This window comes from Homo sapiens, chromosome 6 (genome assembly GCF_000001405.40).
Source record: "Homo sapiens chromosome 6, GRCh38.p14 Primary Assembly".
Taxonomy (NCBI): Eukaryota; Metazoa; Chordata; class Mammalia; order Primates; family Hominidae; genus Homo; species Homo sapiens.
Window position 1 is genome coordinate 28,208,433 of NC_000006.12, and position 25,316 is coordinate 28,233,748.

Genomic DNA, 25,316 nt, shown 5'->3' on the forward strand with positions numbered 1-25,316 from the left:
CCAGCTTAGAGCATGGGGTCGCAACCACCCAGAGCCTTCAGACCAGTGAGCACTTTCCGCACAGGTTTGAATCCCATGAACAGTGATTTTTCTTCAATTCTCTAGTCTCGTCTACGTTTTTTGTTTTTTTTTTAAGGTTTTTTTTTTTAAGGAATTTCCGACAAATAGTGTATTAAGCCTCACTCAGCCTTTGCTTTTATCAGCATAGTGTATTTGCTTATCTACTGACACTCTCCCTGACCATTTTATTAATTCCTTCCGTGCAGAGACTACAACATTTGGGATACTTATACAACGAAAAAAAGGTGTTAAACATATTATAACTTTTTACTATGGAAATGTAAAATATTAAAAAAAGGGAAAAAATGATATGATGTAGCCTCGTATATCCATCACCCAGCCTCAAAATTAACAATATTTTGTCAATATTTTTAACATATATTTCAAACTTTGTCTTTCTGCATTTTAAAGCAAGCATATTATTTTATTCATAAAAACTTCACTATGTAAGAGTGAGAGCTTTTTTCTTTTGTTTTTATTTTGAGAAATAGCATTTTTAAACATATATTAAAACACTATATCTTACTGCTTATTTGCTGGGAATGTCTCATTTTTAAAATGGCTTTCTCAGATTTCTTTGTTTTTCCTATTTTGACCAGTGTGTTAATTTTCTTAGAATGGACTTAGAGGATTAGGTGAATTACTTCATAGCACAAAGTTGCTAGGGCAGAATTTTGCTTATTGCTTATATGGGCAGCAAGATAATTTTCCTTCTAAGGGCCAGTGTTAAATACTGACCTTATCTCTATTTAATTTGAACATAATCAACAATATTGTTCAAGAACAGAGTCACCTAAATATAATGTCTTTGACAGAGTGTGGTATTTGCCTCATCTCTCTGCTCTAATTGAATGCCTTGCACTTGTCTCCTAAAAATTTCCTTTCCCTGGATTTCACATAGTGCTCTTTATAATTAACCCAGAATATTCCTTTGGTGAAAACATACTCTCTTTTCAGAGGTTTGCACCTAGGATCTTTAGCAGTCAAGGCTCACCTGTCACCTTTGCTAAGAAGACATCTACTGATAAATTATTTTTAATCCAGTTGGTGTGGATACGAATAAATTAGCTGTCAAAAGTTTTGCAAGATTGGAGATATTTTGTTTTTAAGTTTTTTATTCTTTTGACTAACTAAATATGTACAACTTACCCTTGCAGTATTTAGAAAAATGGACAAAATACAGAATAGTTATTTAAAATGGGAAATAAGCCAAGGAATCACCAAATGATTTCCTGTAAATTAGATTTACTCCAAGAAATAGAAATTCCAGAATATTAATCATTTGTAGTTAAAATCTTGAATAAGGAGAGTTCCCCACGATGGATATAAATCTCATATTTCCTATAGTCCTTTGAAATAACAAATTCTTCTCCTGACTCAAAGACGAAGGAAAAAACATTCTATTGCAGACGGCCTGCATAGGTTGGTTTATGACGAGTCTTAACATGTAAAAGTTAAATTGTCATTTCCACAATACCTACCACTTCCTCAATCTTCCCAGTTTTAATAAACACTACTTCCACTTGCCCCACTACTCAAGCGAGAAGCAGGAAACTCATTATTGGTCCTTCCCTGTCACCAACTGTTTAGGTTTGCCTGGGACTGGGGGGTCTCTCAGAGACATGGAACTTTCTGTGCTGAAACAGAAAAGTTCCCAGCAAACTAGGATGAATTGTTCACCCTACTCATCACTCACAGTGTGTGTCCACCATTTTATCTCCAACATATATCTTGGACCCATCCACCTCTCTCCATTCCTATTGCCACTCTCCTAGTCTGAGCCACCACCACCTCTCGTGACAGCTGCTGCCCTGGCTTCCCAACTGGTCTGCTCACAGCTATTTCTGGCCACCTGGTCTCTCCAGAGCAGCTAGAATGATCTTTCAAAGAAATCAAACAGGGCTGGGAGCTGGTAGGAAGAAAGCCCAGGCAGGACCTGGTGAAAAAATAGCAGTTAGAATCACTATGCCAGAGAACACGATTAAAAGAAGGGTTTCCACTGTCCTGAAGCAGTCTGTGGAATCAGATCCTTTATAGGTAGTGTCTGCCAGCTTGAACTACAAGATGTTAGGAAAAAACTCCATCTTGTCCTACATAAAATCGTTCCATTGGTAAATCTAATGGTCGTTTCTTAATATTATACTTTATTTCTCAGCTGTGTTTGACTGTTCACTCTTATGTCTTGAATAATTTAAATTTATCTTTACTTTAAAAACATTAATTACTAAGTAACGTACTCATTATGAAAAAAGTAAAATCTTGAAAAAACCTTTAATATAGAAAGTTAAAAAGCTTCATATTCTCACTGTTAGAGATACCAGCTATTAACAAGTAATATACATCCTTCTGGAGGTTTTTTATGTTTATATCAATCAGAGCCTTCCAGAAGTCCAAAAGGTTCATGCCATCTTCATTTTCAGTGTATAAAAAAAAAAGAAATGCCAAATAAGATTTGAGAATATTGAAGACCTTTAATTTAACTCTTAAAAAATACACAGTAGTTGTATGTATAATACATACACAGATATACATACACATACATAATACTTCTTTAAAGATAATATGAAAAGTCTATGTTTAGAACCTTCTTAAAATTGAGCCTGAAGCTAAATGGCCCTCACCAACATTAAATATCTAAACTCTCTATCATCTAAAACAAACAACCGTACTATACATACTGTTCTGCAACTTGCCTTTTTTAAAAAAAACTTAGAAGTGGGAAAATAGGCTGGGCAAAGTGGCTCATGCCTGTAATCCCAGCACTTTGGGAGGCCGAGGGGGGCGGATCACTTGAAGCCAGGAGTTGGAGACCAGCCTGGCCAACATGGCAAAACCCCGTCTCTACTAAAAATACAAAAATTAGCCAGGCATAGTGGCATGTGCCTGTAATCCCAGCTATTGGGGAGGCTGAGGCAGAAGCATCGCTTGAACTCGGGAAGTGGAGGTTGCAGTGAGCAGAGATCACCCCACTGCATGCAGCTTGGGCGACAGAGCGAGACTTCATTTAAAAAAAAAAAAAGTGGGAAAATATTTATAAACTACTATGTATAGAACAGCATTATTCCTATTAATAATCACATACCACTTTAATGTTTTGCTTAATCATAATTTATTTAACTAAGTATTCCACTTTGGTGGACATTGGGTCGTTTTAATGTTTAACACAGGTGTGAGAATAAAAAAGAGCCTCTCCCAACAAAGCTGAGAACAGAGATAGGACATTTCACAGGGAGGAAAAAAAGCACCAACATTCTTCTGGTAGAAAAGAAAAATTTCCCCTCCAAAATTCTGCACCAAATATCAAAAAGCACACAAACTCTAACGAGTGTAAGAATCTTCCTTCCTTCCTTCCAGTTTTTTTTGTTTGTTTTTTTGTTTGTTTGTTTTTGTTTTTGACAGGGTCTCATTCTGTGGCCCAGGCTGGAGTGCAATGGCGGCAATCAGGGCTCACTGTATAGCCTTGACGCCCCCAGGGCTCCAGCGATCCTCCGCCTTAACCTCCTGAGTAGCTGGGACCACAGGTGCGGGCCACCACTTCCGGCTGATTTTTGCAATTTTTGTAGAGATAGGGTTTCTCCATGTTGCCCAGGCTGGTCTCGAAATTCTGAGCTCAAACAATCCACCCGTCTTGGCCTCCCAAAGTGCTGGAATTACAAGCGTGAGCCCCCGCACCCAGCCTCAGGCTTCTTTTCTTGCTGATCATTTTATAATTGAGGTTGTCAGAGCTGGAAGGGACGTTAGGGGTTACTGTTCTGCTTCTCAAGTTGGGTTGGATTTAGTGAGTGGGCTTAGTTAAGAGCCACAATTAGGACCAGGCATCCTGACTCCCGCACCAGGGGGTTACCCACCCCACAGGCCCTTCCCAGTGTCGGTAGCAACTGGACTGAGCCAATCTTGTGCTAAACACAAAAAGACTTTCTTTCTTTCACTGTCCTGACCAAAGCAAGAGGAGTGCCATCGGGGTGCCTGCGCGCCTCTAATTTTTGTAAAAAAACATGTTCTCACCTGTTGCTGATTTATCATAGACTGATCAACACCAACTCCTAGAGAAAGTAACAAAAGAGAAAGGAGGGCATCTCCTGGCCCTCGGGCATATTACAGAAGCAAATGAAAAGGAATTACAGTCAGGTTTCTGGTACGTCACAGAAAACAGGAATCTAAGGACAAAGTTTAGATCGGGAAGCAAATCAACCCTTTGAATGCAGAATAAAGTGGCAGAAGGACCCGGCGAAGGTCCCAGCGTGTCTCGAGGGGCATACAGGGCGGCCAGCTGGAGCCGGGTCAACAAAAAAGCAGGTGATTTTTGTCTACCAATGAATGCCGGCACTGGTTCAACCTATTATTAGATATTTGCCAAGTAACTTCACTACTCTAAGTGACAGTCGTCATTTTTATGGTGGTTGTGAAATGTGTCTTAATTAAGACACCTGACTCAGACTGTGGTTATGGGGATTAAACCAGGAAAAACGATTAGATCATGTTTCTACAAGACTCACTGGGAGCACTACACAGACGAAGAAATTCAAGTTGTTGATTCTTTGTGTGACGAGGTGGCCGAGTGGTTAAGGCGATGGACTGCTAATCCATTGTGCTCTGCACACGTGGGTTCGAATCCCATCCTCGTCGGCTGCATAGCAAGCCTTTTGTTCCAGGAATCACAAATGATATGGTAAGCACTTTATTTGGCAAATTCATTCCGTATTCACCAGCCATTTCAATAATTCCCTCTGATCTTTCCTGCTCTCTGCTTCTTTAGTAACACTTGTCTTAGCTGTGAATGTAATTTGTTAGTTGATTTATTTGATTCAGGCTTCATTCTCATGCAAATTTTCATTCCTTCACAAGTTTTGCTTAGCGGGATTCCCCATTGAGGAAACAATTGAAGATTTAATTGAGGGCTATAGAAAAACATTGCCTGAAAAATTTAAAGGTACTTATAAAATCATAAAGAGTTACATATGCAACATTATGGGTATTGAACCGTATGGGTTACTTAAGGCATTTTCAGCCTAATTGTATATCTCTACTGAAATTTTCATTTATTATCTTAATGCTAACTTTTAAAGCAGTCACTATTGCCTAAGGATTCCATCTTTGAAAAAGGAAGGAGAGTGAGAGTGTCTCTTAGAGATATAGCAAAACTTACAAATACATTCCATAGAACATTTCTAGTTAGTACTAAAGCATTTCCTCCTGAGAAAGGAAAGAAGAATGTCAGTATTATGTAGTTTCCATTTGTAACTTCCATCTTGGCTGATCTTTTGAGAGAAAAAAAGGAATACACATAATTTTATTCAGTTTATTCAATTATTTTCATTTCGAAAATAAGTACTACATTCACATGATTCAAAAAATATGAAAAGTTGTATAGCAAAGTTTTGCCACTAATTACCTACTGCCATCAGTAGGACACTCTTATTAGCTTTCATGTATCCTTCCAGAAACATATATAAGACTATTATTTATAAGACTTGCATATATAAGACTACTAATCTCTCAAAGATATACTCTTAAGTGAAAAAAGCATGATGCAAGACAATATGTATAGGTGCTACTTGTAAAAAGAGGTAAACATACCTGTGTCTGAAGATATATACATATATATATAATTTTGAATATAGCATTTTATGTGAGTGTCTATATTTACAATATAAATGTCTAGGAGTAGATATACTGTGTCCTGGGTAACATTCATTTGTAAGATACTGTCAAATTTCTTCCATAGAAGTTGTGTTGACTTACCCTCCCAACAAAGTGAAAAGGAGGTCAGACCACACCTGCTTATGCAGCCCTTACAAGAGAGATTATTGTTTCAACTAGCGTTGTCCCAGATCATCTAAATGGAAGCTCAAGTACTCACAGTGAGGAGGAAGTGATTGAGAATCCTGGATTCTCATAAACTCAGTGACCTTGGTTTATTACAGATTTTCTGGGTAACTACTGGCAGTTTATACACTGGGCTTCATAAATATTCAATATTTAATGGATTTTTAGGGATTAATGGTGTTGAGCTTTGTGTGATTTGAGAGCACGACTCATTCGATTGTTTTAAATGGGAATGAGAATTTTAAATTGTCTAAGTCAGAGGTCTGAAATTGGATCACTGGCTTCAAAGCATTATTAGCTTTTGGCCTGATGCGATGGCTTATGCCTGTAATCCCAACACTTTGGGAGACCGAGGCGGGTGGATCACCTGAGGTCAGGAGTTCGAGACCAGCCTGGCTAACATGGCTAAAACCTGTCTTTACTAAAAATACAAAAATTAGCTGGGTGCAGTGGCACACGCCTGTAATCCCAGCTACTCCGGAGGCTGAGGCAGGAGAATCTCTTGAACCCCGGAGAGCGAAGTTGCAGTGAGCCAAGATCACACCACTGCACTCCAGCCTGGGCAACAGAGCAAGATACTGTCTCAAAACAAAACAAAACAAAACAACAACAACAACAACAAAAAACCATTATTATGCCGACGAGATTGCTCTAATTCAGTGGTTCTTAAATGTGTGGTCTCTGGAACAATAACATCATTATCACCTGGGAAAAAACGCTAGGTCTGGGGTCCAGCAATTTGTGCTTTAAAAAGCTCTCCAGGTGATCCTGGTTTATGCTAAAGTTTGGCACTGCTGCTCTAGTTTTGTTTTGCCTCCCCCTCCCCTTCTAAAACATGGTTAATCTAGATTCTGTGTGATTTGGTAAAATCTTCTCTCTCTCAGGATCCACCTTCCTCTCATCATTCCAACATCAACTGAGGGTCTATCCTGCCAGGATTAATCCCTCTAACTCCTGCACTGTCGGAGGGCCACAGAGCAGTAATGTGGTGTTAAAGACAGTAGCCAAAGACCACCAGGAACAAAGCAAAATCAGATTTAATACATAGATGAAGTGACAGGATATTCCAGAGTAACGGAGAAATGCAGTTCAACAAGAGGCTGGAGAGAACTGTCTTTTGTAAGGTTTGGGTTCCCATTCGAGGATTCTGAGGAATCTCTAAGAGAAGCAGGATCAGTTCTGGATTGCTTGGTGTTTCTGAGGTGGGGTTAGGAGTAGTGGGGATTAGCTAGGGATTGGGCGTTGTCACAAGGAGAGAGTGATCTTCGGTATCCCCAGTAGTACATGGATGGGTGTGGCAAAGCGGGTATGCGCACTCGTAAAAAGGCAGCAATTGCTCAAAGAGGGGACCATTGCGACATTTTACGGCTGCTGCATGATCTTGGAAAACAGTGTTTCCTGTTAACTTTGCATCTGGCTTTACCTGTCCTCCCAGCCCCTGGTAACAGCTTTTGGGGTTTTTTTGTTTGTTTGTTTGTTTTCAATTGGAGGAGATTTCCTTTCTTTTCGTGGTGACAGGTTTTCACTCTTCCCAAAACTTAGGAAACTGTTCTCCGGCTCAATGGGGTGGGAAGTTACCCGGAACGCAATTTCTCCTCCTCCGGCCTGAAGTCAGGTTGGCGGTAGGATTGCCAGATAAGATACAAAATACCCAATTAAATTTGAATTTCAGATAAAGGAAGAACAACATTTTGCATACAAATCAAGCAACACTACCTGGTGAGGCCGGGCGTCCGTGAGCGGGCTATGGGGCAAAGAGAGAGGCGAGGAGCGCCCCACTTGCCAAAGGAAAAAAAGTTCATTACCCTGCTCCCCTGGCTCCTGTCCACGTCTGCCTGGCCTTGTAGGGTTGGAGAAACAAACCCTCTTCTGGCAAAGGCAGAGGGGCAAACACTCTTCTGTGATCCAAACAGCTGGGAGTGCAGAGTCCCTGTCCAGGATACCACCCCTCACTGTATTAAGGTCCAGTGGGGTTGGGTCAGGGCAGTGAGGGGGATGGCAAGAAGTACTGAGAAGCTCTCAATCAGCCAGGGGCATAAATGTACTCAAATAACATCTACAACCAAAAGACCAAAAAGTATCTATTCCAGGCTCAGGGCTGCCCACTACAGATGCTGACTCCAATATCCCACCCTACCTCCCTGCTCCCTTCTCACCCCCAAAGGTGCTCAGGTGAGCAGCTCCCCACGGGGCTAACATCACACATCAGAAGGGTCGAAGTCCAGGGACTTCTCATAGGCATCAGAGGCTTGGGTATTCCCTTTGCCCTTCAGATCTAACCTATTTTTTTGGTGGGGGTGGTCAAAAACAAAAATGCAGATCCCTCTGCAGTCCGGAAACCAGTTCCTTCTGCAGTACTTCTCTCTGGGAGTGTCTTAGGCTTAGCCATAGTGGTGTGACCCCACCACACACACTGCAAAAGGACTGCTAATACCCCCAGCCCATTCCCCAGCCTCACTCATTAATAAGCACTTGCCGCAACCCAGAATCACATCTAGTGAGGAAGTTTCACATGGCTTGGAATCCTTTAAAACTGGACAGCAAACCACACACACACACACACACACACACACACACACACACACCACCTCCCTCCCCACAACCTCTGCCCCAGGGAGAAGAGGCTGCATGAGAGAAAGAAAAGGCCATATGCATCAGTGGCTGGGTGGCCAGGGCCTTGATGATGGTCTGGGCCTTGAGGGAATGGTGAGGCAGGGCCTCAGGACAGAGATGACAGGAATTCAACTAGATAGAGTGCTAACCTTCCTGTAGTCACAGACATCAGCTCTAGGGTGTGGTGGGGGTGGGTGTCAAGTGGCCAACTGGCAGCTCCCTGTGGCCCAGCCTGAAAGGGAGTGGGGGCTGGAGTCAGGTCTATTTCGGTCACAGGGCCTGAGAAGGCCTGCCAAGTTTGGATGGCTTTGAGTGTGAGAATAGCTGGGCGACAGAGGCAGTGACACAGGTCAGCCTCTCCTTTGCCCATTCTTAGCAAAGGAAGCCACCAATTAAAGATGTTATATAAAGAACTACATGTTAAAAAAAGAAAGAAAGAAAAAAGAAATATAAAACCCAAACCAACCAAATTACAGGCCGATGGGCGAATTGTAAGTGGTAGGGGGGTTAGTTAAACACATTTTGGTGCTTTGGAAGCCCCTCCCATTCCGTGCCTGCACTAGATCTTTTTTTCTAGAAGTGAGAGTGAGAAAATAGAAAATCTTTTTGTACATTTTCCTTTTCCTCTTTTTTTTTTTTTTTTTTTGGCCTTTCCTTTTCTTTCTCTTTTCTGTGGTCTTGGGTGCTCCCGGCCCCAGGGCAGGTAGACGGTCAGTTGGCCAGCACCACGGACTGGAACGGTTGACTAGGATATTGCATGGTGTTCAGGTTGTAGCTGAGGTCTTCCATGAAGGGTGCCTTCTCCAGGAAGAGGCGGTGGCACCACCTCCAAATACCTAGACCATGTAGAAGCTGCTGGCGTTGCAGGTGACAGTCCCACTGCCTCCAAAGAGGGCTCGGGTGTCACTACCCTGGCCATTGGCCCCATCAAGGAAGAAACTGGGCAAGCCACCACTGTTGTACTTGAGACTGTACGTGGCCTTGGGGCGAGAGCTGGGATTGAGAGGCCGGTTGGCCGGGATGAAGTTCAATGAATGCACAGACAGAGAAAGACTCCTGTGTTTCAACAAGCTGTTGGTGTTGAAGCGGGCCGTGGAGGCTGCTGTACTGGCTGCTGGCCACCTGCTTCACCGCTGGCTGCACCCCTACCACTTGTTGCCCCACCCCTCTTCTTCATCTTAGTGGAGCCTAATTTGGTGGCAGCAAAGGAGTCCATGGTGAAGGTGATGGGCTGGGCGAGGCAGAGGATGAAGGTGGGGCTGGGTGATGGGCAAAGCATAGCGACGGGGAGTTGGACAAGGAGCTGTCCTGGCTTCCGAGGAGAAAGAGCATCTGGTCGTCAGGAGTGAAACTGCTCTTGATCTTCATGTCCAGCTCCGGGGCCCCACAGCCGTCACTGTCATCCAGGTACAGCACTTTCACTGCTCCCTTCTCACCAATCTGGTAGGACACCCCGAAGGGGTCAATCCATATGCTCAGCTCCTCAGGCACATTGGCCCGCACATCTTCCACTGTCAGGCCACTTCGCTTAGCGGCCAGCTCCCCAACGGGGTCCACCATCTCCTCGGTGTGGAAGCCAGAGCCCTTCAGTGGTTTGTCAGGGTACCAGTGGGCTTCTTATTTCTTTTTCAGAGGCGCCAGAGCAGCTTGTTGTACAAGTAGAAGATGATGAAGTTCAGGGCTACTTTGATCTCCAGCTGCATGGTCCTTTCCTAGGCAGAGAATCAGCACAGGGGACGTGCACAGCCTTGGGCTCCAGAAGGCTTCCGGTCTCCACCGCGGCTGGGCGCTCTGCCAGCCTCGGGGCAGCTTCTCCCTCTAGAGTGGCCCTGAGCGCGGGGCGGCGGTCGCTCTCTCTTTTTTCCCCCGGAGCCGCCCGGCCGGGGGCCGAAGTCCTTTTCGTCGTCGAGGGTTGGGGGAAGCAGGCAGCTATGGTCATGACTCCCAAAAATAATTCCTTCAGCGCTTAGGAGGTTGGGCGGCTGGGGGACGAAGGGCTGGCGGGCGGCGACCGGGCGGGGAGAACGGACCGGAAGGTGGCCCGTGGGGGGGGCGGGGGGAGCGGAAGAAGGACCGGGCTGTGACCGCGGGACGGTCCTGTCCTCCTGGCCCTGCGTCTCTCGAGCTGCTGGCTTCTCTCCGCCGACGACCCGCACCTTCCCGCGCCCCGGCCCGAAGTCTATACATTTTTTAAATGTGCATATTCTTTGACACGGGAATTCTACTTCTAGGAATTTATCCTAGAGACAGACTCACACATATGTAAGATAATACGTGTCTGAAGCTCAGCATTGTTTATAAATGGAAAGTGATAGGAAATATTAATAGCTTAATTGCTTATCAATAAATGACTGGTGCATAATGAAATAGTATGCAGCTGTCAAAACAGAGCTGCAGCTCTACATGTATGGCTATAGGAAAATTTTCTACTATTTCTGTAAAATCCCAGGGCAAAATTATATATAAATATTTGCTTCTACATACCTAAAATATCTCTGAAAGGCTGTATAAGAAATGAAGGCCGGGCATGGTGGCTGACACCTGGAATCCTAGCACTTTGGGATGAGGAGGCAGGCAGATCACTTGAGTTCAGGAGTTTGAGACCAGCCTGGGCAACATGGTAAAACCCCGTCTCTACTAAAAATACAAAAATTCTTCAGGCATGGTGGCACATGCCTGTGGTCCCCAGCTACCTGGGGGCCTGAGGTGGGAGAATCTCTTGAGTCTGACAGGCGGAGGTTTCAGTGAGCTGAGATCGTGCCACTGCACTCCAGCCTTGGTGACAGCACTTCAGCCTCAGCGACAGAGAGAGATCCTGTCTAGAAGAAAAAAAAAGAAATCAATACCTTTGGCTGTTTCTAGTGGATGAAATTAGGTGACTAGTGGTAGGAATAAGTTGTATATTTCTATTTAACAAATTTTTATTTTGAAGATGTTTAAATATGCAAAAAACACAGAAAATAGACTAGTACATGTCCAGGATCCCTTAATCACAGTTCTAAAATCCATAAAATTCTAAAAACTCCAAATCTTTCCTCCATAAATTTGGCACTACAATCTATCTGAGGGGAAAACCTGAACTTCTTCATAGCCTTTATTTAACTCATTTAAAGTGACTAATCATAAATCTCAAAGCAGAAATATTGAGGTGTTTGATATGCTCTGAAACTCTGCTGGAAGTTACATAATGTACAGTGTATGCACATTATCTTTCTAAAATAAAAAAAAAACAAAAACCTGAATTTGGAAACACATCTGCTCCCAAAGGTTTATGTATTTTTAACTTAAGGAAAATATCACAAGATACAAATTTAGAAAAAGAGAGAAAAGACTTTATTTCTTCTTAAGGGTTACAGCCTGCAAGGTGGCCAGACTACAGGCTGGGAAGCCTTCCTCTGGCCACATCCAGAGACAGGCACTTTGAAGGAGGAGGGGTTGAGGTAGAAGCTTTATGCTGAATGAGTTGACCAAACATACATATTCAACAGGTTACTGAAGGAGCTATGAATATTCAGGAAGGGGTCCTGACACATGCACATTGAACAAACGTGCATGTTACATGTTCACTTTGAAGTAGAGACTTAACATTTGCATGTATTACAACTAGGCTCTATACGTCAAATGGTCACTTTAGGACATGAGAGCACAGAAGTGCACAATCTCTGTAAAAGGGCTAGAATGAGTCCATGGTTGGTCTTATCAGGAGAAAGTTACTAAAATCAGTCTCACGTTCAGTCAAAGCTATAGTTACAGTTAGTGGAACAGGGGTACAGTTTGTCAGCATCTAGTGGAGCTGCAAATTGTTTGAATATTTCTTATCTCGGGGCAGTGCTTGTTTAGCTGCTAGAGAAAAAGGAAAACCTTGTGGCAGTTAAAACATAGTTTCTTCTTTAAATGAAAGGAAGCGTGACTTAAACCTTCCTTGGCATGGACTTAGATCCTGCTTATAATTTGGTATCTTATTGCCACAAAGAGCCTATTCTATCAGTCTTATGATCTCTACTTTAACTTTAATGCTGGTCAGTTGTGTCTAAACCACACAAAAGAGGAGGGTATAATGAGTCGTGTCTGAGCTCTCATTCTGTCAGGGCTGGGAACTCAGTTTTTAAGTTTTTTCTGGTATCACTTTTGCCACAAGGGGTCTGTTTAGTTGGCCAGGGTTGGGTTGGGGATTGGATTTTATTTCTAGTTTATGTTACATAACATGTAATGAACATCTATATACTTATCGTTTAGATTTTATAATTGTTCACATTTTGTCATATTTAACTCCCCGCCTTTCTCTCTGCTGAAGTATTTTAAATTAAATTATAGACATCATGGCATACCATCTTTGAATATTTCAGTACCCATCTCTAAAAAGTAAGAACACTTTCCTGCAGAACTACAATATCATTATCACACATAACAAAATTTAAAATATCACAGAGATTTTTCAGTGTATGCCCTTTTGTACCTCTTATATTTTGAATCCTTGGCTATGTAACTTATTCAATAAGCAATAAAATTTAAAATTAAAAATAAGCTGAATAAGACCTTTAATACTTAAAATTGCCAGAAAGCTATGGGAGCTGCTCCAGGCATCATTAAGGGACAGGAAAGGATTTACAAGAACAAGTTGAACTGTCTCAAAAAAAAAAAAAAAAAAAAAGGAAAAGACCAAATCATTTTATTTTAATACCCACCTAAGTTGAGGCTGGTGTAAGTGGGGCTTTCAACAAGTCAGTACTGACAGAGCATGGTAGGGATGAAAAGCCAATCCAAATCCCAAAATGTCTACTGCTTTGAAGAAAAGTTTTGTCCTCTCCATCATGGAAAGAGTTGAATGTAATCAATTTACCATCAGGTGGCTGGCTGTTTCCACTGTGATATTACATCATTTCTAGGGATTAGGATTGGTTTTGGCTCTTGCAAATTGGATTTCAACAGAAAAGCTTTTGTCTTGTTTTCTGAGCCTATGTACAGCCTTCATCATGGCAGCCATGGTCACTATGTTCAAAAGTTTCTTGAGCAAATGCTGAGATAGCTGAAAAAAGAGTTGCTGATACCCATAGAGCAGATTGTTAAGCAACAAAACTTGGGTCTGCTTCTCCAGTGCAGCAAAGTCAAACATTGACACTAGGATTTGCAGTGAGAGAAAGTAAGGCATTTATTGTAGAGCACCAAGCAAGGTTATTGGGCCACTAACACTTAAGATCTGAACTCTTTGTAAGATGGCTTACAAGCAAGAGTTTTTAAGGCATGGATGAGGGGGTTCTCCAATGTGAGCTAAAGGCTGGAAAATTTCTAGAACTTGCTTATCCATCTTCTGATTCCTGTCTGTCAAGGTCTATATGACAGTGATCAACATTTTCCATCTGGTGGGGGTCCTGGTTTCTGAAAAACAACTCAACTCAAGGACATATGTCAAATGTTATCTTTAGTTTCTATAAGGAAACAAACATCTCATGACTCTGACTCACTTGGGTGACTATTGTTTATGCTATTATTATCATCTTTTTTTTTTTTTTTTTTTTTTTTTTTTTTTTTTTTTTTGAGACGGAGTCTCGCTCTGTCGCCCAGGTCGGACTGCGGACTGCAGTGGCGCAATCTCGGCTCACTGCAAGCTCCGCTTCCCGGGTTCACGCCATTCTCCTGCCTCAGCCTCCCGAGTAGCTGGGACTACAGGCGCCCGCCACCGCGCCCGGCTAATTTTTTGTATTTTTAGTAGAGACGGGGTTTCACCTTGTTAGCCAGGATGGTCTCGATCTCCTGACCTCATGATCCACCCGCCTCGGCCTCCCAAAGTGCTGGGATTACAGGCGTGAGCCACCGCGCCCGGCCTATTATCATCTTGCTTAGCAGGTTATTAATTTATTTCCCTAGTTGCTGGTTGCAGGGTGCCTGGAATTTCCCTTGAAGGGACTCACAATTTTTCCTTTATTTTCATGCTTAAGGAGGGATCCCAGTAGGCTATGAAGAGGAGGAGTCCATGTTCTGTTTCACCATCATCTTGTTCACTTGCTTACTGAAACCCTCTGACACAGTGGGTTAATGAAGATTCATACAGGACACAAATATTTGTACATTTGATATCCATTCTAAGAGATCTATCCACATACGAGCTAGTTCCATCAATAATCTCTTTGTCACCAATCCTCCAAGTCCTTCCTTCCTTCCTTTTTCCCTGTCTCCCTCTTTTCCTTTCTTTCTCTCTCTTTCTTTCTTTTCTTTCCTTCTTTCTTTCTTTTTTCTTTCTTTCATTCTTTCTCTTTCTTTCCTTCCTTCCTTCCTTCTTGCTTGCTTTGTCTTTCTTTCTTTCTTTCTGTCTTCTTTCTTTTTGTTTTATTTCATCTTAATTTTTTTAGCTTATGGCATAACCCACAGCCGAGTTAGTATCCCAATATGCCTGCTTCTAGATTCAGGTAATCCTTAACCTTTTTGGTTGATTTTGCAGTCAGTATTTCTTGTCTTTGAGTTGGTGTGGCATTTTCAATATTCAGTACGGATTCCCAGTTATATGTTAAAAATAATCCCTTCTGTCCCAGGATACTCATCAAAGTACTGCTATAGTGGAATCTTCCCGGAAACAGACAAATGAAAGCCAGTCTCTCTCAGGGCTAACCATTGTGAAGTCCAACGTGCTGCCCACTTGACTCTGGGCTGGAGCCTGCCTGAGCCCTATAGTTGACCCACTTAGCAAGCACATATAAACCAGTGAGAGACCCTAACCAACTGCCAGTGAGACATTTAAGAAGTTTCATACAAATATTAAATTGCATTTACTTGTCACAGATGGTCATACAAAATGGAAAAGAATAACATATTTAAACAGTCTATTCAAGTCCAAGAGAAATTGAGCATTTACTCTCATTTCATAGTTTGTTAGGAAAGTTTGTAATGAGGGATTTGCAAGTGAACATGGTATGGTGGAAAAAGTGATGAGGATTTTTGAGCAAATTTTCTGCATGTTAGTGCTCTTATTGATTATATACTTATTGGATATTTGAAAGAAAAAGAAGTAAAGCATAAAGCTTGGGTTTATTTAATGCCCTCAGAAGGCTAGGTTGAGGAAAATAATAAAGAAATTTTCCGAGCTACTACCGTTTTGGAGTTAAAACAGATCATGGAGCCTCCATTAACACACAAGATACTTTCTTACTGCTTTAATAAAATAAATGATAAGATTCTGTTAAAACAAACAGAATATAGTTTAATCTACGTGACACCATCATTCTGGTTGGCATAGTAAAACTGATGAATGACTAACAGTACCTACAATTACGCTCTTTTGTACCAATAAAATTTATTTAAGGCTGGGCATGGTGGCTCATGCCTGTACCAGCACTTTGCCAGGCGGAGGTGGGAGGATCACTTGAGGTCAGGAGTTAGAGACCAGCCTGGCCAACAAAGCGAGACCCTGGTCTCTACCCCCCTCCCCCAAAAAAAATGCTGGGCATGGTGGTATGTGACTGTAGTCCCAGCTACTCAGGAGGCTGAGGCAGGATTGCTTGAGCCAGGAGTTGCAGTCTGCAGTGAGCTATGATGGTGCCACTGCACTCCAGCCTGGGTGACAAATTTATTTAATTGGTTTTGGTTTGATTTTGTATTATTATTACTAAAACTCCAGAAAACTTTTACAGCAAAAAAAAAAAACAACAAAAAACAAAAACAAGAAAGAAAGAAAAGGAAAGGAGGATGGGAGAAAGGCAGGAAGGGAGGGAGGAAGGTAGGAAAAGAGGAAGGGAGGGAGGAAAGAAGGCAAGCACGCAGGCAGATGCCTAAATAAAGAATACATAGGGGCCTGGACAAATAAATTGCTTTATGGACTGTTATGCACCCATACAATAAGTTAGACTTACATGATGAGTAAAGCTTTTTAGGATACATGAAGTGAAAACGTTAAAATAAGCGGGGGAGAAAAGGCTAAATATAAAATAATGCCATTGTGTGTGTGAGAGAGGATCACAATGATATACAAATTCCAGGCTAACGGTGACAGTGGCTGCCTCGGGGAGTGGGACTAAGGAGGGGTAGGTGGGGTTTGACATTTTACTTTATTAATTTTGGTATTGTCTGAGGGTTTTTAAACCATAAATAATGTATTAATTTTAAAAATGCTTTTAAAAATCATCATTTTCAATAGTTAACGGTCTATGCTTCATCAACGTTTTCCGTTTAAAACCTGTGTGCGGCCCACACACGTATGACATTCTGATTATGTGATTCACTGCTGAAAAAGAACTGGACGCCAGGAAATTGGGGGTTGAGTCCGAAGCAAGGTGAACGCCGGACATCGAGACATGGAATCCTAGACCGGCCCGGAAGTGCCTCTGCTCCGTCCGCCTTCGAGGAGAGGTCGGCATCTTTGTTCCCTGCCCGGCCATTGTTCGTGCCGCGCTTCTAGCAACGCCGGGCCGGTAACCCCCTCTCCCTCCTTGCGCGTTCCGGGTCTCGTGAGTTGGCTGTGGGGACCGGGAATGGAGGCGGGTCAGGGAGGGTGGGGCTGGAAAAGGGGTGTGGAAAGTGAACCTCAGCCGCTGGGAAGTGGGAGCCGGAGGAGGGGGCGGCGGTCAGTGCCGGGCGGCTTCGGGCGTCCCCTAGACCAGAGTGGTCATCCCCAGCTGTGGGGACATTGTACAAGAAAGGGTTGTAGGAGGACTGCGAGGCTGAAGGGTCACCTCGGTGAATAACGACAACAGGCTTAGGACTCAGGGAAAGAAACACCCGGGAGAGGAAGTTAAGGACAATTAAGACTTTGGCAGCCTTCACGATGGAGAACCTGTATACCCTCTTACCTCTAGATTCTGAAAGCAAATTAAGGGGCGTTGAATGGACTGGTTTTCAAGCGCAGAATGTAGCAGTTCCCGATTCCCTTTTCCTTAGTTCATTGATTCTCAAACCTTATAATACATACAAATCACTGAGGAGCCCGTTAAAGGGCATATTCTGGGTCTCCCTGTACTTCTCTCCACCTCCCAATTCAGATTCCCCAGATGTCTGCCATAGGGCCTTTCAAGCTGGAATTCAGCTGCTGCGCTGTGCTTCCTGGCATTTTGGAGACACACATTTTGGGAACACCCCCATGGGTTTCAGGTGCTTCCTGCGTCTGTGGAGAAAACTTTTCCCTTGGGCTTCTTTGGCTTCTTAGGATTGTCCTCAAAAAGAAGTTGACCTTGGGCAATCTACTTAACTTTCCCTGGCTTCCATTTCTTATCTAGTGAAATAATTATTATAATAAAACCTCAGTGGGTAATTGTGAGGATGAAATATAGTCTTGTATCTGAAAGCATATTGTAGACTTGTGCAGTGTTGACTGTTATTCTTCAGTAGCAGCAGGGCGGTGTGGAAAGCTCCAGGACTTGGAATCCACCTAAGCCTTTCTTTCTGTAAATTTAGTGAAAATAATACTAACCTTAAATGGTTGTTTTGAAGATTAAGAAAACTGAAGTAAATAGTAAAGTAAATGTTGGTTCGTTCATTTAGTCGACAGTAACAATATTTCCATTTATTCTTTCTCTAAGTTGATGTTTATACAGTGAGTTCAAACTTTTTATTCAGACTTTCTGAGTGATCGGTGCAGTCCCTAATTCATGGGCTGTTTTCCTCCATGAACTCTGTGAAGCATTATTGCTATTTCTTCTTCACATAAAGAAATCAAGATTGAAAGAAGATTTAAAAACTTGGCACAAGGTCACACAACTAGTAAATATTAGGATCAGAATAAAACCTAGGTCTGGGTCAGCTGTGGTGGCTGACGTAATCCCAGCACTTTGGGAAGCCAAGGTGGGAGGATCACTTAAACCCAGGAGTTTGAGGTTGCAGTGAGCTGTGATTATGCCACTGCACTCCAGCCTGGGAAACAGAGTGAAATTCCCCATTTAAAAAAAAAAGAAAGAAAGAAAACCCATATCTGGGTAACTTAAAAGCTTATGCTCTTAGCACATTATGAATATATATATTTCCATTATTTCCATCCTTTGGTCACCAAATCACTTTTCAGAGAAGAGCTTTAGGGCCTATGATAATTGCTTGTATTATCAGTTTCTGTCATCAGCTATTATCATTTTTCTATATAAATAATTTATTTTTACTGCTTAGGCAAGCGCCTCCAAGGTTTGTCTTGAAGCATAGCTCCAGCTGGAGGGTACCTTTTAAGCTGTTCAAGGTCAAGATGAATACAAACTCAAAGGAGGTTTTATCCCTGGGTGTTCAAGTTCCCGAGGCATGGGAAGAACTTCTGACAATGAAAGTGGAAGCAAAAAGTCACCTTCAATGGCAGGAATCCAGACTGAAACGCAGTAATCCACTGGCAAGGGAAATCTTCCGAAGGCACTTTCGACAGCTGTGCTACCAAGAGACCCCTGGACCAAGGGAGGCTCTTACTCGACTCCAGGAACTTTGCTACCAGTGGTTGAGGCCACATGTGAGCACAAAGGAGCAGATTTTGGATCTGCTGGTGCTGGAGCAGTTTCTATCCATTCTGCCCAAGGAGCTCCAGGGCTGGGTGAGGGAACACTGTCCAGAGAGTGGAGAAGAGGCTGTGATTTTGCTGGAGGATCTGGAGAGAGAGCTCGATGAACCACAACATGAGGTAGGAAGGGAGATTTGCTAGAGAAAAATGTGTATTTTGGCATGCCAAGAATCCTTGTCACTTCTGCTTTGTGTCTCCTTGACATTGGTGATAAAATACTCTCTTCCTGTTTCCTTCTTTCTTGGAAGTGTTTATTTCAGACAGTTAATTTCTTCAAAAGTCAAATCTTGTCTTTTTGTCCCCAGATGGTGGCCCACAGACACAGACAAGAAGTCCTCTGTAAAGAGATGGTGCCTCTAGCAGAGCAGACACCACTGACCCTTCAGTCCCAGCCTAAGGAGCCACAGCTCACATGTGACTCTGCTCAGAAGTGCCATTCTATTGGAGAGACAGGTGAGGGACAGCATTTATTTGATGTTGAACGAATCCCACCTGGTCAAGCAAAAACAAACAATAAACCCAGAGCTGGGAAAACAGGAGACCCAAAGACTCCTTACCAGATAGCAGTAATGGTCAGTTCTTCTGAGAGCCTAGTGTGCTCATCTTTGACCCTTCTCCCTGCGTGCAGACTTCTCCCTGAGTACCACCCTGGAAGCTTTCTGGACTTCTGATGCATGGTACATGAGGAAGGCTTTCAGGGATCGCTGTGGAGCACAGCTTCAGAGAATGGACTTCAAGGTTTGACAGACAGGTTCAGATCCTGGCATCGCCTCATGGAAGCTGCTTGTATTGGGCAGATTACTTAACCACTTGACCTCAGATCCCTCATCTACAAAATGGGGTTGATAATAGCTTTGGTTTAGTCTACTTGCGCTGCCTTAAGAGAATACCACAGACTGGTTGTCTTTAACAGAAATTTATTTTCTCACATTTTCAAAGGCTAGTAGTCCAAGATCAAGATACCATCAGGTTTGGTTTCTGGTGAGGCCTCTTCCTGGCTTATAGATGGCCATCTTCTTGCTGTATCCTCACATGGCCTTTCTTCTGTATGCATACAGAGAGAGAGCAAGCTCTCTCATCTTATAAGGACAGATACCATTCCTACCCGATAGGGCCCTTCCTTATAACCTCATTTAACTTTTAATACCTTCCTCAAGGCCCTATCTCCAAATATAATCATATTGAGGGGTTAGGACCTCAGCATATGTGAGGGAATACAATTTAGTCCGTAACCAGTATGTACCTCAGAAAGTCATTGTGAGTATCAAATACAATTTATGAAAAGCACTTGGCATGCATTATGCTTAATACATGGTCACTATTGTCACAAATCACCAGTGCCACCCTTGCTGATTTGGGTTCATACTTGGAGTAGAAAGATATCAGATATGCTTAGTAAGTGGCAGAACTGTATGGGAGAATCCAGTGAAATCAGACTTTGCCATTTCCTTCTCTGTAATCTTCTGAGTGGTGGCAGTGACCACCCTTGTGGATATAGTACTGAGCACTTGGGACTGAGTCAGCTGCTTTCCCATTCTAGCCCTCCCTGCAGGAATTGGCTCTAGCTTGTCTGATTTCCCACACATAAAATCATGCCCTCTTACTGACTTTTTGTTAATGTTCTGACAATCAATCTGTAGCAAGGTTCTACTGTTTTCAGTTTCATATTACCCCTATATGCATCAAAGCTGCAACTTCCCTTGCCTCTTTGTCCCTAGGTTCTGTTTATTTCATTTACCCTAGCAATTATGGATTTCTATTACATGGAACTCATCTCTTGATTTAAATTAAAGTGTATGTGTTGAGTAAATTCTGTGCAGACCTTCTTATAGCTTCTGTGACTTTATCAGATTAAAATTGCTTCTGATATCATTTTCCCTCTTTATGAGCATCTTTCCAGTCAATTTGTTTCTTTCTTCTTCCTCTCTCTATGAACTTGGACCTTTTATTTTCTAGCCACTTCCTTTCTTCTACCTTCCAAACTGCATCTAGAACCCTGCTGAGTATCCCCTTTTCCAAGAAGCACATCTATATTTTCCACCTATCCACTTATCTATCCATCTATCATTCAACAAGTGTTTATTAAGCATCTACTATGGCTGTAGGAGAATATCCAGAGGGCATCTGGAGACTGGAGTGTTCTCCTTGTAGGATATCAGCGCAGGTATGTGTTACAAATTTAGATAAAGCCAATATTATAAAACAACATAGTGTTTGAAATTACAAGGACCAAATTCAAGTTCCAGCTTTTCAAATTCTTAGCCAAGCAATATTTAATAGGTAAGCTTGAGTTTCTTTTTAAGTTATGCTGATTATTTAAAAATCCAAATAATACAAAAGTTTATATAGTAAAAAATGGAAGTTTTCCAAATCCTACTCCCTAGAGGTAGCTACTCTTGTCACTTTGCTGCATATTTTGCAGACGTTTCTCTATATAGTCTGCCTACCCATATATATGTATCTTCCCATATTTTTCTTTTTTTTTTTTTTTGAGACAGAGTCTCGCTCTGTCGCCCAGGCTGGAATGCAGTGGCACGATCTCGGCTCACTGCAAGCTCCGCCTCCCGGGTTCATGCCATTCTTCTGTCTGAGCCTCCCAAGTAGCTGGGACTACAGGCACCCGCCACCATGCCCGGCTAATGTTTTGTATTTTTAATAGAGACAGGGTTTCACTGTGTTAGCCAGGATGGTCTCGATCTCCTGACCTCGTGATTCGCCCGCCTCGGCCTCCCGAAGTGCTGGGATTACAGGCGTGAGTCACAGCGCCTGGCCCATATTTTTCTATAGTTCTTTAAAGAGATGGGATAATAACATCGAGTTTTGTGGTGAGTCAGTTTGATAATATATCTGAAAGTGCTTCATAAGTCATGAAAGTTGTATAAATGGTAATCATTAAAAGGTGGGAAATGTCTGAATTTTTATATTCTACCCAGCTCCCTTATGGATTTCAGATTTAATACGAAGTTTGAGGAGAAGGGCAGTACTGATCCCACTTGGGGCCCATCTGTTCTCTACAGACACATTTTTATTTTCCAAACCTGTTGTGATCCCCCAGCTAAAAGGAGGAGGAGAAACATGGCCTAACAACAGAGGAGTCCTAAGAGGTACCTATTCTTGTATGTGAGAGACAGGACAGTTAGATATGGGAGAAAGAGGCAAATATTTTGGTCAAAAGAGGAGGCCTGGGTCTGTTGTCCTCGGCCTTTTTCTGGGTTGCAAAGTGAAATCAGACTATGTGCCAGGCATGTTTCTCAGGAATAAAACAGAAGGTTCCTCCTCTCGTAGAGATTAGATTGTAGCAAGAGGGAGATAATAATAAATATAAAAGTAAAGAAATGATACAGTGTGTTAAAAGGTGATGAGGCTATGGAATAAGGCAAAAATAGAACAGGATAAGGGAGATTAAGAGTGCTACGGATGAGGCAAACAGATTGTGATATTAAATAGAAGAATTAAGATAGACCTCATTGAGAAGGTGAGTTGAACAAAGACTTAAAGGAAGCGAGAGAGTGGGCCTTGCTTTCATTTGAGGTGAGAAGTTTCCAGGAAGAGAGAAGCACTAGAGCAAAGGTCTTATGATGGGAATGCACCTTGGATAATTGTGGATTTGAAATTCATAAAGTATAGTAGTCCTCACTATTCAAGGGGGATACATTCCAAGACCCCCAGTAGATGCCTGAAACCAAGGGTAATACTGAACCCTGTATATACTATTTTTTTCCTATACATACCTAAGATAAAGTTTAATTTATAAATTAGGCATAGTAAGAGATTAACAACAATAACTAATAATAAAATGGAACAATTACAATTATAATAATATGCCAGCCTCACTACTTTTGCACTTTGGGGCCATTATTAAGTAAAATAAGGGGTATGTAAACACAAGCACTGAGACACTGCAACAGTCAATCTCATAACCAAGATGGCTACTATGTGTGCAACAGGCAGGCAGCATGTACAGTGTGGATATGCTGGACAAAAGGAAGACTCATGTCCTGGGTGAGACAGAGCCAGATGGCATGAGATTTCATCATACTACTCAGAATGGTGCCAAATTTAAAACTTAAGAATTGTTTGTGCTGGGCGTGGTGGCTCACGCCTGTAATCCCAGCACTTTGGGAGGCCAAGGCGGATGGATCATGAGGCCAGGAGTTTGAGACCAGCCTGGCCAGCATGACGAAATCTCATCTCTACTAAAAATACAAACAAACAAAAAATTAGCCAGGCATGGTGATGTGTGCCTGTAGTCCCAGCTACTCGGGAGGCTGAGGCAGGAGAATCGCTTGAATCCGGGAAGCGGAGATTACAGTGAGCCAAGGGGCAACAGAGTGAGACTCCGTCTCAAAAAAAAAAAAAAAAAATTGTTTGCCTCTGGAATCTTCCATGTAGTATATTTGAACTGTGATTGACTGTGGGTAGCTGAAACTTTGTAAAGGCAAAACCACAGATAAGTGGGGACTACTGGACTGCCTGAAGCACCTAAGTAGTAGAAGTTTAATACTTGTTCTGAAAATGAATGAATGAATACATGAAGTAACTTTCCTTGGAAAGGGTCACTTTGAGGTTATCTCAGAAAGGAGAGAGAGGTGTAAGGGAATACTCCAGAGAAGCCACCCTAATCTTTAACCATCCCTCCCTATGAAGTATAAAAAAGGTACTGCCAGCTGGGTGCAGTGGCTCACACCTGTAATCGCAGCATTTTGGGAGGCCGAGGTGGGTGGATCACCTGAGGTCAGGAGTTCAAGACCAGGATGGCCAACATGGCGAAACCGCGTCTGTACTAAAAATACAAAATTAGTTGGGCGTGGGGGTGCGTGCCTGTAGTTTCAACTACTTGGGAGACTGAGGCAGGAGAATCGCTTGAACCTGGGAAATGGAGGCTGCAGTGAGCTGAGATCACACCATTGCACTCCAGCCTGGGCTACAGAGTGACACTCTGGCTCAAAAAACAAAACAAAAAACAACGACTCAGGCCAAGTCTACATGGGGATGGACTGACCTGCATTATGCCAAAGAGGGCAAACGTTCCTCCCTACGTAGGGGAAAGTGTTACCACACTAGCCCTTCTGTTTCTAGCCCACTTCCTTTTCTATGATATATTTTTATAGACATAGTCACCTTCCCATAGGCTCAGGGAACAAGTGACATTTACCTAGCCTTTTTCTTTGTTTCAGATGAAGTAACCAAGACTGAGGACAGAGAGTTGGTGCTAAGGAAAGACTGTCCTAAGATAGTGGAACCACATGGGAAAATGTTTAATGAGCAGACCTGGGAGGTATCACAGCAGGATCCCTCACATGGAGAAGTTGGTGAACATAAGGATAGGATAGAGAGGCAGTGGGGAAACCTCTTAGGAGAGGGGCAACACAAATGTGATGAATGTGGGAAGAGCTTTACTCAGAGCTCAGGTCTCATTCGACATCAAAGAATTCATACTGGAGAAAGACCTTATGAATGTAATGAATGTGGGAAAGCCTTCAGTCGAAGTTCTGGTCTTTTTAATCACCGAGGAATCCACAATATACAGAAACGGTACCACTGCAAGGAGTGTGGGAAGGTCTTCAGTCAGAGTGCGGGTCTTATCCAGCATCAGAGAATCCACAAAGGAGAAAAGCCGTATCAGTGCAGCCAGTGCAGTAAGAGCTACAGTCGGCGTTCATTTCTCATTGAACATCAGAGAAGCCACACAGGGGAGCGACCTCACCAGTGCATTGAATGTGGGAAAAGCTTTAATCGACACTGCAACCTCATTCGCCATCAGAAGATCCACACAGTGGCTGAGCTGGTCTAGGGCTTGGCTATGAGCAAGTTTTCCAGATCACCACCCAAGTTGTGTGGGGCAGGTTGAGACTAGAAAATGCCTCTTTCTTCCTTTCTCCATGAAATGTGTTTGAAACAAATCCTGACTTAAGGCCCAGGGACTTCCTTAAAGGAAAGTTGGGTGTTTGAAGCTACTGTTTTCTCTTTTGTTCATTTTACCTCTTTCTTACTCTTACTAGCTGTGTCCCTCTTATTTATAATTTATTTATTTTTTTGAGATGGCTGCTAAACCCTTCTAATAATATAATAAATGGCACTGCCACAGCCAACATGCCTGAAAGATTTGGTATCTGTGTTTAACTACAAAGGATAACAGAGTTCTACTGATGGTTTATAACAATTGGGTCTTTGGTGTTCCCTGTGACCAGGGTCTACACTATAAACACCTTTTCTACCTTACTGCTTCTCTCTGACACCTACGTGACTCTCCCTTGGAAAGTGACCAGCATTGGCTGTGTGTTTCAGTGTCTGCAGTGTGTGTCCGCTTACTTAACCATAGTTGGTCCTCACAACAGCCACACAGGGAAATGAGCGTTATCAT

At 42.6% G+C, this 25,316-nt stretch overlaps 1 protein-coding gene, 1 non-coding gene and 1 pseudogene across 10 annotated transcripts, besides 4 other annotated features; 2 read left to right on the top strand and 1 right to left on the bottom strand.

Annotated features, from left to right (window-relative positions):
* Positions 4,505-5,181: an enhancer, noted in NCBI's record as "OCT4-NANOG hESC enhancer chr6:28180715-28181391 (GRCh37/hg19 assembly coordinates)". NCBI's record gives its function as "activates a minimal SCP1, AML or CMV promoter by ChIP-STARR-seq in naive H9 embryonic stem cells {active_cell/tissue: H9 hESC(naive)}" and the evidence as "EXISTENCE:reporter gene assay evidence [ECO:0000049][PMID:30033119]".
* On the top strand, positions 4,605-4,686 carry TRS-GCT5-1 (tRNA-Ser (anticodon GCT) 5-1). The gene has a single exon. It is a non-coding gene; the product is annotated as a tRNA-Ser (tRNA).
* Positions 6,906-10,497, bottom strand: TOB2P1 (transducer of ERBB2, 2 pseudogene 1; annotated as a pseudogene). Its single transcript, NR_002936.2, has one exon. The product of NR_002936.2 is annotated as a transducer of ERBB2, 2 pseudogene 1 (transcript).
* Positions 8,552-8,745: a silencer, noted in NCBI's record as "fragment chr6:28184762-28184955 (GRCh37/hg19 assembly coordinates)". NCBI's record gives its function as "represses an EF-1alpha promoter that drives an FKBP-Casp9 reporter gene in an ReSE screen in K562 erythroleukemia cells {active_cell/tissue: K562}" and the evidence as "EXISTENCE:reporter gene assay evidence [ECO:0000049][PMID:32094911]".
* Positions 10,554-10,673: an enhancer, noted in NCBI's record as "active region_24348". NCBI's record gives its function as "activates an Ori minimal core promoter by ATAC-STARR-seq in GM12878 lymphoblastoid cells {active_cell/tissue: GM12878}" and the evidence as "EXISTENCE:reporter gene assay evidence [ECO:0000049][PMID:35858748]".
* Positions 16,648-16,747: an enhancer, noted in NCBI's record as "active region_24349". NCBI's record gives its function as "activates an Ori minimal core promoter by ATAC-STARR-seq in GM12878 lymphoblastoid cells {active_cell/tissue: GM12878}" and the evidence as "EXISTENCE:reporter gene assay evidence [ECO:0000049][PMID:35858748]".
* On the top strand, positions 16,808-25,055 carry ZSCAN9 (zinc finger and SCAN domain containing 9). Of its 8 annotated transcripts, none has more exons than NM_001199479.2 (5): positions 16,843-16,934; positions 18,580-19,072; positions 19,258-19,405; positions 21,904-22,056; positions 24,130-25,055. In NM_001199479.2, the coding sequence occupies exons 2-5, from the start codon at positions 18,653-18,655 to the stop codon at positions 24,744-24,746; spliced, it is 1,338 nt and encodes a 445-aa protein (NP_001186408.1). In that variant the 5' UTR covers positions 16,843-16,934; positions 18,580-18,652; the 3' UTR covers positions 24,747-25,055. The 8 variants fall into 8 exon arrangements, with proteins under 8 accessions (NP_001397770.1, NP_001186408.1, XP_047275273.1 ...); XM_047419317.1 differs by having other exon boundaries at positions 16,843-16,898; XM_011514875.3 differs by lacking the exon at positions 16,843-16,934 and adding an exon at positions 16,985-17,574 and having other exon boundaries at positions 21,886-22,056.
* Positions 25,056-25,316: the final 261 nt, after the last annotated feature.